This window comes from Homo sapiens, chromosome 5 (assembly GCF_000001405.40).
Source record: "Homo sapiens chromosome 5, GRCh38.p14 Primary Assembly".
NCBI lineage: Eukaryota > Metazoa > Chordata > Mammalia > Primates > Hominidae > Homo > Homo sapiens.
The window spans coordinates 168,499,113-168,517,488 of NC_000005.10; the positions used below are offsets into that span (position 1 = coordinate 168,499,113).

At 38.9% G+C, this 18,376-nt stretch overlaps 1 protein-coding gene across 1 annotated transcript in view, besides 1 other annotated feature; it reads left to right on the forward strand.

Annotated features, from left to right (window-relative positions):
- RARS1 (arginyl-tRNA synthetase 1) overlaps positions 1 to 18,376 on the forward strand; it is a 32,831-nt gene that overhangs the window by 12,642 nt on the left and 1,813 nt on the right. Inside the window, exons 8-13 of the mRNA NM_002887.4 lie at positions 1,479 to 1,608; positions 2,889 to 2,993; positions 6,909 to 7,087; positions 7,610 to 7,719; positions 11,469 to 11,574; positions 17,666 to 17,838. Coding sequence (NP_002878.2) covers positions 1,479 to 1,608; positions 2,889 to 2,993; positions 6,909 to 7,087; positions 7,610 to 7,719; positions 11,469 to 11,574; positions 17,666 to 17,838 — 803 coding nt within the window. The remainder of the gene's footprint in view (positions 1 to 1,478; positions 1,609 to 2,888; positions 2,994 to 6,908; positions 7,088 to 7,609; positions 7,720 to 11,468; positions 11,575 to 17,665; positions 17,839 to 18,376) is intronic.
- Positions 8,827 to 8,996: an enhancer, noted in NCBI's record as "experimental_83640 CRE fragment used in MPRA reporter constructs". NCBI's record gives its function as "activates a minimal promoter by MPRAs in K562 erythroleukemia cells, with activity observed for both the introgressed and non-introgressed 5:167935029 variant alleles {active_cell/tissue: K562}" and the evidence as "EXISTENCE:reporter gene assay evidence [ECO:0000049][PMID:34662402]".

Genomic DNA, 18,376 nt, shown 5'->3' on the forward strand with positions numbered 1-18,376 from the left:
TTCAAGACCAGCCTGGACAACATGGAGAGACCCTGTCTCTACATAAAATACAAAAAATTAGCCGGGCACACTCCTGTAGTTCCAGCTACTTGGGAGGCGGAGGTGGGAGGATCACCCAAGCCTGGCAAGGTCAAGGCTGCATTGAGCTGTGATCTTACTACTGTATTCCAACCTCAGTGACAGAGTGAGACCCTGTCTTAAAAAAATAAACATAAAAAAAATTCCCTATGGTGGAAGGATCATAAAGATCATAATTTCCTCTCGGATATTTTGATTAATAAATTTATTTTAATGTGAGTTGCATGTTTTCTGTTTGTTTAAATTCTTAGGCATTTTCTTTATGATGGAGAATGTTTCAAGAATAGGATTCCTGTATTAAAAAGTAAACATTTGTGGGGATTTTGTTTTTGTTTGCTTCATTTTACTTTTGGTAAATGTTTTCTGTTGAAAATAAGCTAAATGTTTACTGATATGAGACTGGAAAAGTAATGTTATAAACATCTTTTGGAGTTCTGTACTTCGAATATAATGAAGCAGATCTATTAATGCAAGAAATTGTTTGTATAAATAAATTGTTAAAATTTACAAACCACAGTAAAAAAAAAAGCCATTTCCAATTTTTCATAAAACATATATGTGTATTTGCAAAGAAATATCTAGATTTGTTCATTAAATGTTAACACCAGTTAATTCAAGGTGAGATTAATTATTTTTAAGTAAGTGTTGCTTTCAAAATAGAAATAAAACAATGAAAGCAACTTTCGTTTTAGTTAAAAAATAATAATAATAAGTTGGCCAGGCACGGTGGCTCACACCTGTAATCCCAGCACTTTGGGAGGCCCAGGTGGGCAGATCACTTGAGGTCAGGAATTCGGGACCAGCCTGGCCAACATGGTGAAATCCTGTCTCTACTAATAATACAAAAATTAGGCGGGTGTGATGGCTTGTGCCTGTAATCCCAGCTACTTGGAGGCTGAAGCATGAGAATCACTTGAACCCGGGACACGGAGGTTGCAGTGAGCCGAAATCATGCCACTCCAGCCACTCCAGTCCACTCCAGCCTGGGAGACAGAGTGAGACTCTGTCTCAAAAAAAAAAAAAAAAAAAAAACGAAAAAAAAATTCATTCAGGACCACATCCAAAATGGAGATTGGAACACAGAAAATTCAGTCCTACCTGTTAGCTATTCTGTACTAACCCTTGAACACAAAAGTATTAGCTGAAGTAGACTTTTGTGAATTGGAAAAGTGTAAAGAAAACTGTGGTGAGATTTTTGTATTTTTTAAGAGAAATGATTTCAAAGTTCTTTGGCATGTTCATTTGTAACAGTATTCTCAACTATTGAGGGAGAGCACTTGTTCTCGTGTTTGTACTTTCTCACTGTGTTTGTGTGTGTAGAAATGTGTAAGTTCTTTTTCTAGAAATACAGGATTAGATCTTTTTACACACCTTACTTTTTAAAATATATATATATACAGGAATCTAAGAAGAGGTTTGATACTGAGGAGGAATTTAAGAAGCGAGCATATCAGTGTGTAGTTCTGCTCCAGGGTAAAAACCCAGATATTACAAAAGCTTGGAAGCTTATCTGTGATGTCTCCCGCCAAGGTGAGTTTCTGGGCTTTGTTCCTTCGTCCAGCAAATACTATGTATATCATTTCCTGGAGTCTTCATTTTGATTTGACTTTGAGTGATATTTTAACCTTCTAAGGACAGGCAAATAGATTTTTTCTTAAATGTATTTCTGAAACAACCAATAAATTTTGAACCTGCCATAAGACAGGCAGGTTCAAATCTTAACTTTCTTAGAAGTCAGCAAAAATTAATTAGAAAATAAAGTGGAAAATAAAAAGAAATCTTATTCACAGTAGCAACAAAACCTATAAAACACTTAGGAATGAATTTATTCAGAAATGTGTAGGACCAAAATGATGAGAAGTGTACAATGAGATGTAATAGAATGTTTGGATAGAGTGCCAGACCCAGTTCCCTAGTTCTCCAAATTTATTTATGATTTTAAGGCGATTTCAAGTTTTCTAACTTGACATAATAGTTTTAAAGATTTCTTTGAAGAGTAAATGGGTAAAGAACAACCAGTAGATCTTTGAAAAAGACGATTAATGATGACTGGCTTGCAGCACTAGGTAATAAAATGTTTTATAATTACAGTAAGTAATACTGTGTCATTGATGTATTGCTACATAGACAGGTAAGTGGTTTAAATCAGGAAAAACCAGAAGAAAATTCAGTAAATATTGATCACTAGATAGGAAGAGCTTTTTTTTCTTCTCATTTACATTTTTTAAGAATTAATTTTTTTAAAAGTTATACAAGAAGGACATGTTCCTTATATAAAAAAGTAAATGTTGGGAGGCCGAGGCGGGTGGATCACCTGAGATCAGGAGTTCGAGACCAGCCTGGCCAACATGGTGAAACCCCATCTCTACTAAAAGTGGAAAAATTAGCCGGGCGTGGTGGCACACGCCTGTAGTCCCAGCTACTTGGGAGGCTGAGGCAGGAGAATCGCTTGAACCCGGGAGGCGGAGGTTGCAGTGAGCTGAGATCACGCCACTGTACTCCAGCCTGGCTGACAGAGCGAGACTCCATCTCAAAAAATAATAATAAAAAGAAAGTAAACGTAGACAGGAGAAAAATAAAATTATCTATAGTCCCACCCATTGTTAATATTTTGATGTGTACCTTACCATTTTCTTTCCCTTTTTCAAAATGACAGCATGTATATAATGTTCTATATCATACATTTTTTATGTAATTAATTTCCTTTTAATATTTGTATTAATAAATTTATTTCAATGTAAGATGCATGTTTCCTGTTTTTAAAAAATTCTTATGCATTTTATTTGGTGGCATTTTATTTTCTTCCCTAGAGTTAAATAAAATCTATGATGCATTGGACGTCTCTTTAATAGAGAGAGGGGAATCCTTCTATCAAGATAGGATGAATGATATTGTAAAGGAATTTGAAGATAGAGGTAGGCACTCTTCTTTTAACTTTTTATTATGGAAATTTTCAAACATAGGCAAAAGTGGATAGAATTTATAGTAATGCCAGCTTCATGTACTCATCATCCAATTTCAACAGTTATGGGTACTGACCAACCTTATTGTATCTATACCTTCTTACACTGCTTCCCTCATATAATTCCATCTATAATGACTTTGGTATATGTCTCTGAAAGAACAGGACCTTCTTTCTGCCCTAAAACCGCAATATCATTATAATAACAAATATATATATATATATATATATATTTTTTTTTTTTAAAACAATCTTGCTATGTTGCCTAGGCTGGTGTGGAACTCCTGGCCTCAAGTGATCCTCCCACCTCGGCCTCCCAGAGTGCTGGGATTATAGACATGAACTACCATACCCAGCCAATAATAATTTCTTAATACCATTAAATAGAGTTCAAATTTCCCAAGTTGATTCATGAATTTTTTTTTTTTTTTTTTTTGGAAACAGAGTCTTACTCTGTCGCCTAGGCTGGAGTGCAGTGGCGTGATCTCGGCTGACTGCAACCTCCGCCTCCTGGGTTCAAGCAGTTCTCCTGCCTCAGCCTCCTACGTAGCAGGAATTACACACATGCACCACCACACCCAGCTAATTTTTGTATTTTTAATGGAGACAGGGTTCCACCGTGTTGGCTGGGCTGGTCTTGAACTCCTGACCTCAAGTGATCCACCCACCTCAGCCTCCCAAAGTGTTGGATTCATGATTTTTTTTAACAGTTTTTTCAAAGTATGCATATAACATTTGTTTGATATGTATCTTAAGTTCTATAAATCTGAGGTTTCTCCCTCTTTTTAAATTTCTTTTATTGTTGAAGAAACTGGGCTATTTGTCCTAAATAATTTCCCATATGGAACTATTTAGCATAATTCCTTGTCTGTGTTTCTCTAAAGAGGCTTCATTAGATTCTGATTTATGTTTTATTCCTTTTTTTGTTGTTTTCTTTTAGTTGCAAGAATGCAGGCAATGAGGCAGTGTCTGGTTGTCTCTGTTTTTGTCATATTAAGATTGATTAGTAAATTCAAGTATCGTCAGCTGGATCTGTCCATAAATTTCCCCATCAGACTTTTCCCTATTGGCTTTATCAGCTATTTATGACCATGACTTTGATCCACCACTTCATTGGAGGTTGGAAAATGGTAGTGTTCTGTCATTCTTTCTCCATTTGTTACTTGGGATTCTCTTATGCTGAACTTTGTTACTAATTATTTTGGTTATCCTCAGGTACAATTCATATAAAACAGGTAGGGTAGTAGAAGTGCTTGATTTTTTTATCAATTGCAGAATAATAGGTTTGTTCCTTAGCATCTCAAAGTGAGTTGTTTGATTTTGATATTATTGTGGTGGGCTTTTAATGTGTTTTATATTTTTCAGTCAGTTGTCTTTATAATTTTTGTAGTGCTCAAATTGTTCCATTTTGGCTAAGTAACTTCATATTTTTTGTTGTGGTTTTGTTTTTTTCAACCCCTTTGGTAGTTAGTTAATTGCTTTCTGGTATACAATATTCCAGGCCCATTTTGTACATTTCCTGCCTCAGACCTGAAATCAACCATATCTCTATGGAAGCCTGTTTCCTTGAATGGGAGTAGTATTTTAATCACAGTCTAGGGCCTAGGGACCATACTTTTTAAGATGATAAAATTTTGGCTGGGTGCAGTGGCTCATGCTTGTAATCACAGCACTTGGAGAGGCTGAGGCAGGAGGACCACTTGAGGCCAGGAGTTTGAGGTCAGTCTGCGCAACATAGCAGGACCCTTTCTCTGCCAAAAAATTAACAAAATTAACAAAAGAAGTAGTTGGGCATGGTGATGCATGCCTGTAGTTCTAGCTATGCTTGAGCCCAGGCATTTGAGGTTACAGTGAGCTATGCTCACACCACTGCACTACAGCCTGGGAAACAGAATGAGGCCCTGTCTCTGAAAAAAAAAAAAAAAAGAATAACGAGAGAGAGAGAGAGGTCGAGCATGGCAGCTCGTGACAGTAATCTCAGCACTTTGGGAGGCTGAGGTGGGAGGATCACTTGAGTCCAGGAGTTTGAGGCCAGCCTGGGCAACAATGTGTGAGACCCTGTCTCTACAAATTAAAAAATTAGCCAGGCGTGGCTGGGCGTGGTGGCTCACACCTGTAATCCTAGCACTTTGGGAGGCCAAGGTGAGCGAATCACGAGGACAGGAGATCGAGACCATCCTGACCAACATGGTGAAACCCCGTGTCTACTAAAATACAAAAAATTAGCTGGTGTGGTGGCACACACCTGTAGTCCCAGCTACTCGGGAGGCTGAGGCAGAGGAGTCGCTTGAACCCGGGAGGTGGAGATTGCAGTGAGCCGAGATCATGCCACTGCACTCCAGCCTGGCGACAAAGCAAGATTCTGTCTCAAAAAAAAAAAAAGAAAAAAAAATGCCAGGCCCGGTGGCTCAGGCTTGTAATCCCAGCACTTTGGGAGGCCGAGGCAGGCGGATCACGAGGTCATGAGTTGAGACCATCCTGGCTAACACGGTGAAACCCCGTCTCTACTAAAAATACAAAAAATTAGCTGGGCGTGTTGGCAGGTGCCTGTATTCCCAGCTACTCGGGAGGCTGAGGCAGGAGAATGGCGTGAACCCGGGAGGCAGAGCTTGCAGTGAGCCGAGATCGCACCACTGCACTCCAGCCTGGATGACAGAGCGAGACTCCGTCTCAAAAAAAAAAAAATTAGCCAGGCGTGATCGTGCATGCCTGTGGTGACAGCTTCACGAGAGGCTGAGGCAGGAGGATTGCTTGAGCCCAGGAGGTCTAAGCCACAGTGAACATGTTCACACCACTGCATGACAGAGAAAGACCTGGATGACAGAGCAAGACCCTGTCTGAAAAAAATAAATAAATGCAATTTTTTAAATGTTTATTTTATGAGAAAATAGGCACAGAGAAGTTAGTATCTTCCCAGGGTCACATAGCTAATAAGCGATACGTCTGAGATTCAAACCTAGCCAGTCTGGCTTCAAAGCTTATGTTTTTAACTGCTTATTTTATACTGCCTTTACATTACCAAGCCTCAATTTTCTAAACTGTAAGAAAGCATAGAGTTATTTACTGCATAGGGTTATTTTGAAGGTTAAATTTAAGGACTTAGCATAGTACTTGGCACATAGTAGCACTCTTAATAGCTGCTACTGTTATCATGTTCTTCCTGTACCTTCTTGCATCCAAGAATTCTGTCTTTTTTATCATGAGTGTATGAACATGGATTTAATTTTTCTTCCTACTTCTCATTCCAAATGCCAAATCCTGCCCTGTTTGTTTCCGGGACCTTGAAACAGTGTCAACTACTTTTCAGCACGCTGTTAGAGATCACTATAAGAATTGCAGCTTTCTCCAAGAGGAAGGTTATGGCTCCAGCTTGAAAGCAAAGCAGATTTTCATGTTCTGGTCCTACCGAGCTGATGGGTTCCAACTAAAGAGTTTGGGAGGCCAGGCATGGTGGCTCACACCTGTAATCCCAGTACTTGGGGAGGCCCAGACAGGAGAATCACTTGAGCCCAGGAGTTTGAGACCGGCCTGGGCAACGTAGCAAGACTGTGTATCAAAAAAGAAAAAAAAAAAAAAAAAAAAAGCAGTTGGGAACCAAGTTTAGTGTTTAAGTGTGGAAAACTGCCAGAACATCTGACCTGTGCTCTGATAGCACCCTGAGTATCCAGGCAACCTTGATGGTTAACATTTTCCAAGGTTTCTAATAGATCATGGTGAGGAAAAAATTATGTGCTTTCTTTAGCTCTCTAATAAATATATTTCAAAATATTCTTAGAATAACTAAATATTTACATAGTAGAATGAGTAAGCATTCATTTTCCTTCAGGGTTCTTTTAACTTTATTAATGAAGTGTTTTTTACCCCCTAGGATTTGTGCAGGTGGATGATGGCAGAAAGATTGTATTTGTCCCAGGGTGTTCCATACCATTAACCATAGTAAAATCAGATGGAGGTTATACCTATGATACATCTGACCTGGCTGCTATTAAACAAAGACTATTTGAGGAAAAAGCAGATATGATTATCTATGTTGTGGACAATGGACAAGTGAGTTTGTAAATTTGTATGTGTTTTACATTGACTGATTAGAGGTAAGACAGTATGGTGAGGTTGGTGACATCTGACACTGGATGACTGTAAATTTTCCCCAAAGACTAAGATTCAGGACATCAGTATAGCATAGAAGAAAGAAGAGGGTTTGGACCCAGCCAAACTGGACACTTCCTAGTTTTCCAGCTTGCCTCCACAAACTGGAACCTCTGAACTTCAGCAATTGTTCCTATCAGTAGGGTTATTGTGAGACCTAAAATGTAATTGAAGTTTTTGCATGTGACCCTGCCCTTAATTCAGTTGCTTTAAAAACGTTTGAACATAGTAGAAAATGTAACAGTGTTGCTCTTAGTGTTTCTCATATATAGGGAATAAAAGAAGAGGTTTTATAATAGCACTTGTCTCACAAGATTTATGAGCGATTTGAATTTTACAGATCTATTCCTAAGCAAAAGAGCCTTAAGTCTTTTTTTTTTTCTTTAAAGAAGACTAGCAAGTAACTTTCCGTTTCTGTTGTAGTCTGTGCACTTCCAGACAATATTTGCTGCTGCTCAAATGATTGGTTGGTATGACCCTAAAGTAACTCGAGTCTTCCATGCTGGATTTGGTGTGGTGCTAGGGGAAGACAAGTAAGTCTGGAAAATCTGAAGATGGTAATGATATACTTGATCCCAAGAGGCTACTTTTCATTTGATACCATATTAGAATTAAGAAAGTCCACAGTTTCCTTTAGTCCACATAAGCTATAATGGTGTAAACCCAGCTGAGTGATTTTGTATCTATATCATCACTGCCAGGGAATGTAGCCTTTTAGGTAGATAGTATGTACAAAGTTTAGTGAAAACCAGACTGTAGACCTAATAGATTATATATAAGGGGTTTCCTCTCCCACAAATCTAAATTATAAAATCTATTACAGTACCTGCTCAGATTTCAGACACTATTCAACAATATAGCTTATGCATTTGATAAATGTTTTTGTTTTTTCCTTCAAAGTTGAACATAGGCAAAAGGTATAAGTTATTGAGATTCCAATTAAGTTTTAAGATTCACTGGTTTTGTTATGTTCTCTCCAAAAATATTGTTTATTGAGAACTATGTATTTTAATATTCATACTTTCAGCTTTTCTATTTTCTAATTTTTTTATATTCTCAATATTTATAAAATAAAAAGGTAAATACAACCGTGTTTCCATACAGTATTCCTCAATTCAAAGGCACAGCATTTTTCATGTTGTAACCTCCTGTATTCACTGGTGTCTTAGGATCACTTACCAAAAATCTGTGGCATCTTAGATTTGGTAACAAAGCCTAAATATTTCCATCCTACAAACGTGGTCATGCTTCTAAAAAACCACATGAAGTAGCTCAAGATGTTTGGCCAGCCAATGCGCAGAAGCCCTAATTGAACATGTAAAAGGCAGATGAGATGTGTTAAGGTATTATCTTAGATACAGATTATGTGGAGCTCAAAGACCTTGTTGGGAACAACATTTTCTAATTGCGTTTCTTCTCCGTGGATCTGCGCTTTTTTGAAATCAAAAGACACTAGGGGCTAGGCAAAGTGGCTCTCACGCCTGTAATTCCAGCACTTTAGGAAGCCAATGCTGGAGGATTGTGTGAGCCTAGGAGTTTAAGACCAAACTGGGCAACATGGTGAAACCCCATATCTGCCAAAAAAAAAAAAAAAAACTTAGCCAGGCATAGTGGCATGCACCTGTAATCCCAGCTAAGGATTACTTGAGCATCGACGTGGAAGTTACAGTGAGGCGAGATCATATCACTGGGCTCCAGCCTGGGTGACAGAGTGAGACTGTGTCTCAAAAACAAAAAGAATAACTAAGAAGACACTAAGTCCTTATTATAGTGTTTATGGACATAAAGTTTTTTAAAACAAACCAGTAAGTTGATCATTACTTAATAGTATCTTAGTTTCTTAACGGTTGGTTTTTTGGACATTTAGATGATATTCTGACACTTGCTTAAAATTACTAGTGCTCCTATTATGGCATTTAATTCACTTGTCATATAATGGCTAAAGGATTCTTGATAATTTTTAAAATTTTTCTGCACTCAGCAGCATGTAGTTATAGTATCCTATCCCACCCGCCTTTTTTTTTTTTATTTTTTAAATTTTGGGCCAGGCACAGTGTCTCACACCTGTAATCCCAGCACTTTGGGAGGCCGAGGCAGGTGGATCACGAGGTGAGGATTTGAGACCAGCCTGGCCAACATGGTGAAACCCCGTCTCTACTAAAAGTACAAAAATTAGTTGGGCGTGGTGGTGGGCGCCTGTAGTCCCAGTTACTCGGGAGGCTGAGGCAGGAGAATGGTGTAAACCCGGGAGGCGGAGCTTGCAGTGAGCTGAGATTGTGCTACTGCACTCCAGCGTGGGCGACAGAGCAAGACTCTGTCTCAAAAAAAAAAAAAAAAAAAAAAAAATTCTCACAGAGGGGGATGGGACTTAAGAAAAAGGTTTGTTTTCTTTAATGCTCACAGATTCTATTTTTAAATGACATTTTCTGTTTTAATTTTTTGAATGATAATTTTTTTTTAATTTCATCATCTTCCTGCTATTCCTTGTACATCTGTTTATTGAGGATGTGCTGTGCATGGTGTTGGTTGGATGCTCCACAATGTGTATATGCAGGTACACGGAACATGAGCTCCTCTCTGAAAGAGGCTATCATCTAGAGCAGAGCAGTTTCCTGTGGAGCTTGTGAAAATACACATGCAAGCCCCACTGTGGGAGTTACTGACTTATTAGGTCTAAAGGGGGTATTAGGCATCTGTTTTTTTTTTAAAGCTCTCGGTATTCAGATACGCATCCCTCATTGTAGAGCCACTAGTCAGAATAGACCAACACAAAAACAAAAATTCATGGCAGGCGCAGGTAGGGAGTAACTGAAAGGAACAGTAATTGCAAAGTAGATTAAGGAAGGTTTCCTTTAGCATTTTGACTGGTCTTCATGATGAGTTTCATTTTATCAGAGATTTGAAAGTTGAACACTTAAGAAGAAGTGTATGGGCTAAAGAAAGCTATGGAAATATATAATGTATTTGTGGGATAATAAAGGAGTTTTAATTCTGTATAAGCAGAATTTTACAGGGCAAGTAGATTCTTGCTTGGGCAAGCTCTGGAAATAAAACTTTAACAGAAAGTAGCACATTCATTTTGGTACTCTTTGTGTTAGAAAAGCATGCTTCATTGTTATATTTGAGGGATTTTTTAAACACCCCCCCCCCCCCACCAAAAAAAGGAAAATGATATTATATCCTTGGTGTTATGTAAACTTTTTTGTTTAATACATAAAATTCAGTTTTCTCAAAATGCTTTTTAACAGCGACTGCCCAGGGCAATGCTTATTAGTGCTTTTGCCATATCCGTAGTGATTCTGATTGCAGTAGATCTGAACGGGGCCCTAGCATCCTGAGGTTTTTTTCTCTTTTTTCTTTCTTTCTTTTTTTTTTTTTTAAAGGAACTGGCCCAGGTGCAGTGTCTCCAGCCTGTAATTCCAACACTTTGGGAGGCTGAGGTGGGAGGATCACTTGAGACCAGGAGTTTGATAGGAGCCTGGGCAACATAGTGAGAGACACCATCTCTATAAAAATTAAAAAATTAACCAGGTATGGTGGCTCGCACCTATAGAATTAGCTACTTGGGAGGGTAAGGTAGAAGTATTACTTAAGCCCAGGAGTTCAAGGTTACAGTGAGCTGTGGTCATACTACTTCACTCCAGCCTGGGTGACAGAGCAAGACCCTGTCTCTAAAAATAAATAAATGAGTGAATGAAGCAAGCAAGCAACTGGCTGCTCAAGCATCTTTCTTAAACCTTGCCAGGCGATTCTGGTATGAATCAAGGCTTGGTTACCACTGAACAAGAGGAATTAGTATACAGAGAAATTCAAGTGAGATTTTGTCAAAGAATTTACTGACTTTCTCAACAATTCTAGAAACATATATTTTGATTAGTAATTTTTCTAAAAAGGTGAAACATCTAAGCCAAACTTAGTATTCCAAGAAAGCAAACAAATTAACAAATATCTTCTTTCTCTGTTAGGAAACTTATTAAAGGTAAATATGTAGAGAGTGCTTTTGAGGGCTAGAGCATAGGATGCTTTGAGTTGAGGGCTAGAGATGAAAGACACTTGAAAGCACAGTGTTTCATGTAGTACTCTCCTTGCTTGATGACTGGCATAAGGCATTGTTACCATTGGCATCAACCCTCTCTTAATAGTTCTCAGGGGCAATATGTACCTTAGAGATTTAAAACATATGTTGCAGTTTTGTGGTCAGGTCTCTCAAACCTTCATTTTCAAAGATTTCTAAGTTGAAAAGTCTGTTTCAAAATCTGATTGGGGGTTTTACATTTTTTAGGAAAAAGTTTAAAACACGTTCGGGTGAAACAGTGCGCCTCATGGATCTTCTGGGAGAAGGACTAAAACGATCCATGGACAAGTTGAAGGAAAAAGAAAGAGACAAGGTAATTCAAAGCCTTATAGGCATAATGTGTATCAAGCATTGTGATTTTTCATTTTTGTTTTTATTGAGAGAACTGAGGAGAAGTGTGAGGAGTCAGTCCCACCTAGGACAAGGCTTATATTGCTCTGACTTTATTGCACAGTAAGTTTATTTTGTGAATTGCTGAGCATTTATTTAGAAAATATAGTTCTTGGCAATTAAAAAAGACCTTGGCTTTTTCCTCCTTTGTTAATGTAGCTTAGTATCCGTGCTGCTTAACAGCAGTTCCCAAAGATGGGAGAATATTGCAGACTGAAGGGGTTTGATTCGTCAGCTCACATCAGAGTCTACATGTGCCATGCTCCTTCTTGGGAGCATTTGTAGAGTGGTCATAGCAGTCAGTTCTTGCCACCCAAGGCCATTGATGAACCTTCAGAGCAGGCAACATGATGGCCTTTCATGGCACCCTTAGAAAAGACTATGGTTCAGTTTGTGTGGAATTTGGAGGAATTGAAAAGTCAACAAGAAAAATTTTTTTTTTTTTTTTTTAAGTTTAGAGCAGTAGAGGAGAGGTCATGCATACCTGAGACTGGGTAATTTATAAAAGAGGTTTAATTGGCTCATGGTTCTTCTGGCTGTAGGAGCATGGCACCAACATCAGTTGGCTTCTGGGAAGGCCTCAGGGAACTTTTATTCATGGGGGAAGATGAAGGGGGAGCAGGCACTTCACATGGCTAAAGCAGGAGCAAGAGAGAGAGAGTAGGGGGAGAAGGTGCCACACTCTTAAATGACCAGATCTCACAACAACTCACTATCACCAAGACAGCACCAAGCCATAAGGAATCTGCCCCCATGATCCAGCTGAATCACTGGTCTAGGCACATCTGGCACAGTCAGATGAAAAGTGGTAAGTTCAGTCATCTAGCTGTTTGTTAGTCTGCCTGATGACAAAAATTGCTTTAACTCTTTTTAACCACTCCAGCTAGTAATTTTTTAAGTTACTTTTAATTGTGCATAGTAAAATGCACAGCCTAATGAATTTTTACATATATATGCCTTAGAACACCAATCAAGATATATTTCCATCACCCCAGAGATTTTCCTATCACCATAAATCACTTTTGCTTATTCTGGCATTTCAAATAAATGAAATCACATAGTATGTGCCCTTTTCCATGTGCATCAGTAGTTCATATGTTTTTGGTTTTGTTTTGTTTTTGAGACAGAGTCTCACTCTGTCGCTCAGGCTGGAGTGCAGTGGCAAGATCATGGCTCACCGCATCTCGACCTCCTGGGCTCAAGTGATCATTCTACCTCAGCCTCCCGGGTAGCTGGGACTATAGGCACCCACTGCCATACCTGGCTAATTATTGTATTTTTTGTAGAGATGGAGTTTTGCCATGTTGGAACTCCTGGGCTCAAGCGATCCACTCACCTTGCCGTCCCAAAGTGCTAGGATTACAGGCATAAGCCACCACACCCAGCTGTAGTTCATTTGTTTTTATTGCTGCATGATATTCTGATATATGAAGGTGCCACATTTTGTTTATCCATTCTCCTATTGATGGACATTAGGATTATTTCCAGTTGTTGGCTGTTCTGAATACAAAGCTATTTTGAACATTGTTGTTCAAGCCCTTTTAGAGGTACATGTGCTTTTTCTTTCGGATATATATCTAGGAATGGCATTGCTGGGTTGTAGGGCTGACTTACGCTTAACTTTATTAAAAATTGCCAAGGAGAAAGTGGTGACCGTTGTATACTCCCACTACTAACATATGAGAGTTTCATTGCACCATATGTTTACCCACATTGGTGTATTAGTCAGGGTTCTCTAGAGGGACAGAACTAATAGGATAGATACATATAAAGGGATGTTTATTAAGTATTAACTTACACGATAACAAGGTCCCACAATAGGCTGTCTGCAAGCTGAAGAGCAAGGAGAGCCAGTCTGAGTCCCAAAACTGAAGAACTTGGAGTCAGATATTCGAGGGCAGGAAGCATCCAGCACGGGAGAAAGATGTAGGCCGAGAAGCTAGGCCAGTCTCTTCTCTTCACGTTTTTCTCCCTGCTTTATATTCACTGGCAGCTGATTAGATGCTGCCCACCCAATTAAGGGTGGGTCTGCCTTTCCCAGACAACTGACTGAAATGTTAATCTCCTTTGGCAACACTCTCACAGACACACCCAGGATCAATACTTCGTATCCTTCAGTCCAGTCAAGTTGACATACTAACCTTGACAATTGGTTTAGTCAGTGTTTTTTATTTTAGCTTTTCTGGTGAGTGCATAGTGACTTATTGTGGTTAAAATTTTCATTCCTCTGATGAATAATGATATTGATGATATTGACTACCTTTATTTTTCTTTCTTTTCTTTCTTTCCTTTTTTTTTTTGAGACAGAGTCTCGCTCTGTTGCCCAGGCTGGAGTGCAGTGGCACGATCTCGGCTCACTGCAAGCTCCGCCTCCCATGTTCACGCCATTCTCCTGCCTCAGCCTCCTGAGTAGCTGGGACTACAGGCACCCACCATCACGCCCTGCTAATTTTTTGTATTTTTTTTTTTTTTTTTTAGTAGAGACGGGATTTCACCATGTTAGCCAGGATGGTCTCAATCTCGTGACCTCGTGATCTGCCCTGCCACCGTGCCCGGCCTCTTTCTTTCTTTCTTAAGACAGAATCTCACTCTGTCACCCAGGCTGGAGTACAGTGGCACAATCTTGGCTCACTGCAACCTCCGTCTCCCGGGTTCAAGCAGTTCTCCTGCCTCAGCCTCCCGAGTAGCTGGGACTACAGGCACATGCCAACACACCAAGCTAATTTTTGTATTGTTTTTAGAGATGAGGTTTCACCATGTTGGCCAGGCGGGTCTCAAATCCCTGGACTCAGCAATCTGCCTGCCTCAGGCTCTCAAAGTGCTGGGATTACAGGCATGAGCCACTGTGCCTGGCCTGACTGCCTTTTCTTAGGCTTATTGGTCATCTAGATAATCTTCTCTTGTGAAGAGTCTGTTAACTCTTTTGCCCATTTATCATTATTATTATTATTATTTTGCATTAGACAATCAGTACTTACATTTATCTATATATTTTCGCCCTTTCCTGCAGTTTTTTGATTCCACCTGGGATTATTTTTCCACAATCTGAAGGTCTTTATTTTTTTAGCACAGGTCTGCTGGGGTGACAGATTCTTTCAGAATTTTTGTTTGTCCAAAAATGTCTTTGTTATGCCTTCAGTTTTGCACAATGTTTTTATTGGGTATAGAATTCTAGTTTGGCAGCTGTTTTCTTTCAGCATTTTTAGAGATGACATTCCACAGAACTGGAGAGGACCAGTGGGGCTGAGGGAGGAAATAAATAAAAATTATACTCCATTGTCTTCCAGCTACCATAGTTTCCTTTGAAAATCAGTTGTAAGTTTCATTGTTTCTCCTTTGAAAGTATGTATCTTTTTCTCAGACTTTTTTTAGTATTTTTCTTAGGCTTTATTTTTAGTACTTTGACTAAGAAATGCCTAAGTGTGGTTTGGGGAGTCATTTTTGTTTTTACCCTTTGGGGGCTGCCAAACTTCCTAAATCTGTGGGTTGAGTTCTTTCATCAGGTTAGGAGAATTCTTGGCCCTATCTCTTCAAATGCTACTACTTTTCCGCATTCTGTTATTTTTGGTACTCCAAGTACATATGTTAGAACTTTGTATCTCACGTGTTTCTTATGCTCTAATTCATTTTTTTCTTTTTGCTTTATTTTGAATATTTTCTACTTCAGAGAATATTTTGGTATTCTGTGTTTAAGGTATTTCTTGAAATTTTTCATCTTTTCTTCCAGTTTTCTTACTGTTTTCCTTTTAATTTTTTGAACATGTTAATCATAGTTTTCTTTAAACATTTTAAAACGGTTTTAGACATAAAAAAGTTGCAAGATAGTACAAAGAATTTTGTATCTTTCATTTAGTATCCCCAGATACTAATATCTTTCATAGCTATATAGTATGATTATCAAAATCAGGAAATTAACATTGATACAATACCATTAACTAATCTGCAGTCCTTATTCTGGTTGTACAGTTGGTCTCACTAATGACCTTTTTCTAGTCTAAGATCCAGTCCAGGATAACATGTTACATTTAGTTATCATGTCTCCTTCTCTTTAATCTGGGCAGTTAGTTCCTTGGTCTGTCTTTGACTTTCATGACCTCAACACTTCTGAAGTCTGCTGGTCAGTTAGTTTTTTTGGAATATCACTTAGTTGGATTTGTCTGATATTGGCTCCTGTTCTGTTAATTCTGTTTCCAGGTTATACAGTCTTATAAGTCTTATAAGCTGTACTCTGTTTCCAGGTTATACAGTCTTACAAGAATAGATGTAGAGTTCTTATCAGTTCATATCAGGAGGCACATGATATTGATAAGCTTCATAATTAATAATAATAATTTTGATCTCTTTGGTAAGGTGATAGTATCAGTTTTCTCCCCTGTAAAGTTAGTATTTTCCCCCTTTGTCATTAATAAGTATTTTTTAAGTAGCTTCATCTTAAACAATTTCAGATTTTAAAGTTGCTATTATCTTTTTTCTTTTGTTTCTGTTGTCTTGATTCTCTCCTAGCCCTTTCTTTGTAGTCCCCCTCCTTAGTATTTAGTTATTTCATCTTGCTCTTTTATCTTTTTCCCCCCACAAGAGATAGGGGTCTATGTTGTCCAGGCTGGTTTGAAACTCCTGGCCTCAAGTGATCCTTCCACCTCAGACTCCCAAGTAGCTGCGTTACAGGCATGAGCCAATTACAGGCATGAGCATTACAGGCATGGCTCATCTTGCTTTTTTAGAAAGATTTATTTGTTGTTGGGTGCTCGGCATTATGAAGAGAAAATTATAAAGATTATGGCTGAGGTTATTTCCCTCCAGAGACCGTTATGTTTTCTTCTAGCCCACAGGTAGCATACCAGCTGATTATCTTGACCCTGTTTGTATTGGCCTTATGCTTCTTTAGGGCTGAACTATTTAAATTTTACCTGTATGACTAGGGTGAGGTCCTTACTCCTGAAATATGGCCCTCTGGCCATACTTCAATGGCGTGTGTGCTAATGCCCTTCCATTTTGCCGCTGCAGAACTGCCTTGTGTCACACAGCTGCTGAAATCACTGCTCAGCTCTTTAATTACCATTTGCTCTTTCCTGATAGATTTTTTGGAGTCTTGCCTTGTGCATGCCAGCCATATGACATTTGAAAGAAATGTGTTCACAGAGTCTTTGACTCCTCTGTGGCTCCTTCTTTTTGGGGATTGTGTCCTTGCTTCTTTGGCAGCCCCGTACTCTAAACTCTTGTCTTCTCACCTCAGCAAGACCACTTCTTTCTGCTTGGGTTCTGTCCCCTTTGTCCACTATGTAGTGATTTGAAAAATGCCCTTGGGGAAAAAGCCAAGTGATGATGGACTCCTTCCCAATGTTTTCATTCTTCTAAGAACTATAGTCCCTTCAACTTTGCTTGTGTTGATGCTCTCTAGTGACTTCAACCAGTTGTTTCATATGTTTAACCCAGCTTTTAAATAGTTGCTTTTGGTAGAATGGTTAGTCTGCTGCAAGGTATTCTGTCATGGCCAGAAGCAAAAATCCTTAATTACTTACTTGTGGCCTAATAATGCTTTAGAATACTTGAGCAAATATTAGCAAAACAGTGAATGGGTTCTTTTATCTACTCTTAATACACCCTTGATTTCAATTAATTATTTAACGCTAACTTTTTGTTTGTATTTTTTGGTGTTACTCTGTTTCCTATAACCTCACAATGTTCATAGTATGAAGTGGATATAAACTAATAATTGATGCTTCTGGTTTCATATCTACTGAATACACTGGAAAAAGGTATTCATGCTGACATTTTACATTTTACAAATTCAGTTTCTCATAGACACATTCTTCATTGTGCATAACGCATTTTATATTTTCATTATTTTGTTTGTACATTGGCCCATGTCCTTCTGCCTCAGTGTCAGTGTTTATTAAAGTTTATTGGTAAAAGAATACCATTAGATGTTCCCTACCCCAGTCTTATGCCTATGAGACACCAGGGCAGAAGCAGCAGTCAGTAAGCTATGAAATACTGTTTTGTTTTTCCCAAAGGTCTTAACTGCAGAGGAATTGAATGCTGCTCAGACATCCGTTGCGTATGGCTGCATCAAATATGCTGACCTTTCCCATAACCGGTTGAATGACTACATCTTCTCCTTTGACAAAATGCTAGATGACAGAGGAAATACAGCTGCTTACTTGTTGTATGCCTTCACTAGAATCAGGTAATTGTGGGTAGGCATTGTTTTATTGTGAATCAAATGAAAGCATATTTAGTTACTCAAAAATATTTTCTTTTTTTTTTTTTGAAATGAGACGGGGTCTTGGGCTCAAATGATCCTCCCACCTCAGCCTCCTGAGTAGCTGGGATTACTGACATACCACCATTACACCTGACTTCTAAAGTGTTTTTTTTTGTTTGTTTGTTTATTTTTGAGACGGAGTCTCACTCTGTTGCCCACGCTGGAGTGCAGTGGCGCGATCTCGGCTCACTGCAACCTCCACCTCCCGGGTTCAGGTGATTCTCCTGCCTCAGCCTCCCCAGTAGGAGGGATTACAGGCACTCACCACCATGCCCAGCTAAATTTTGTATTTTTAGTGGAGACGGGGTTTCACCATGTTGGCCAGGCAGGTCTGGAACTCTGGACCTCAAGTGATTCACCCGCCTCGGCCTCCCAAAGTGCTCGGATTACAGGCATGAGCCATCACGCTCAGCCTAAAGTGTTCTTTTCAGACTTATTTTTCTGCCTACAAGCATCTTTG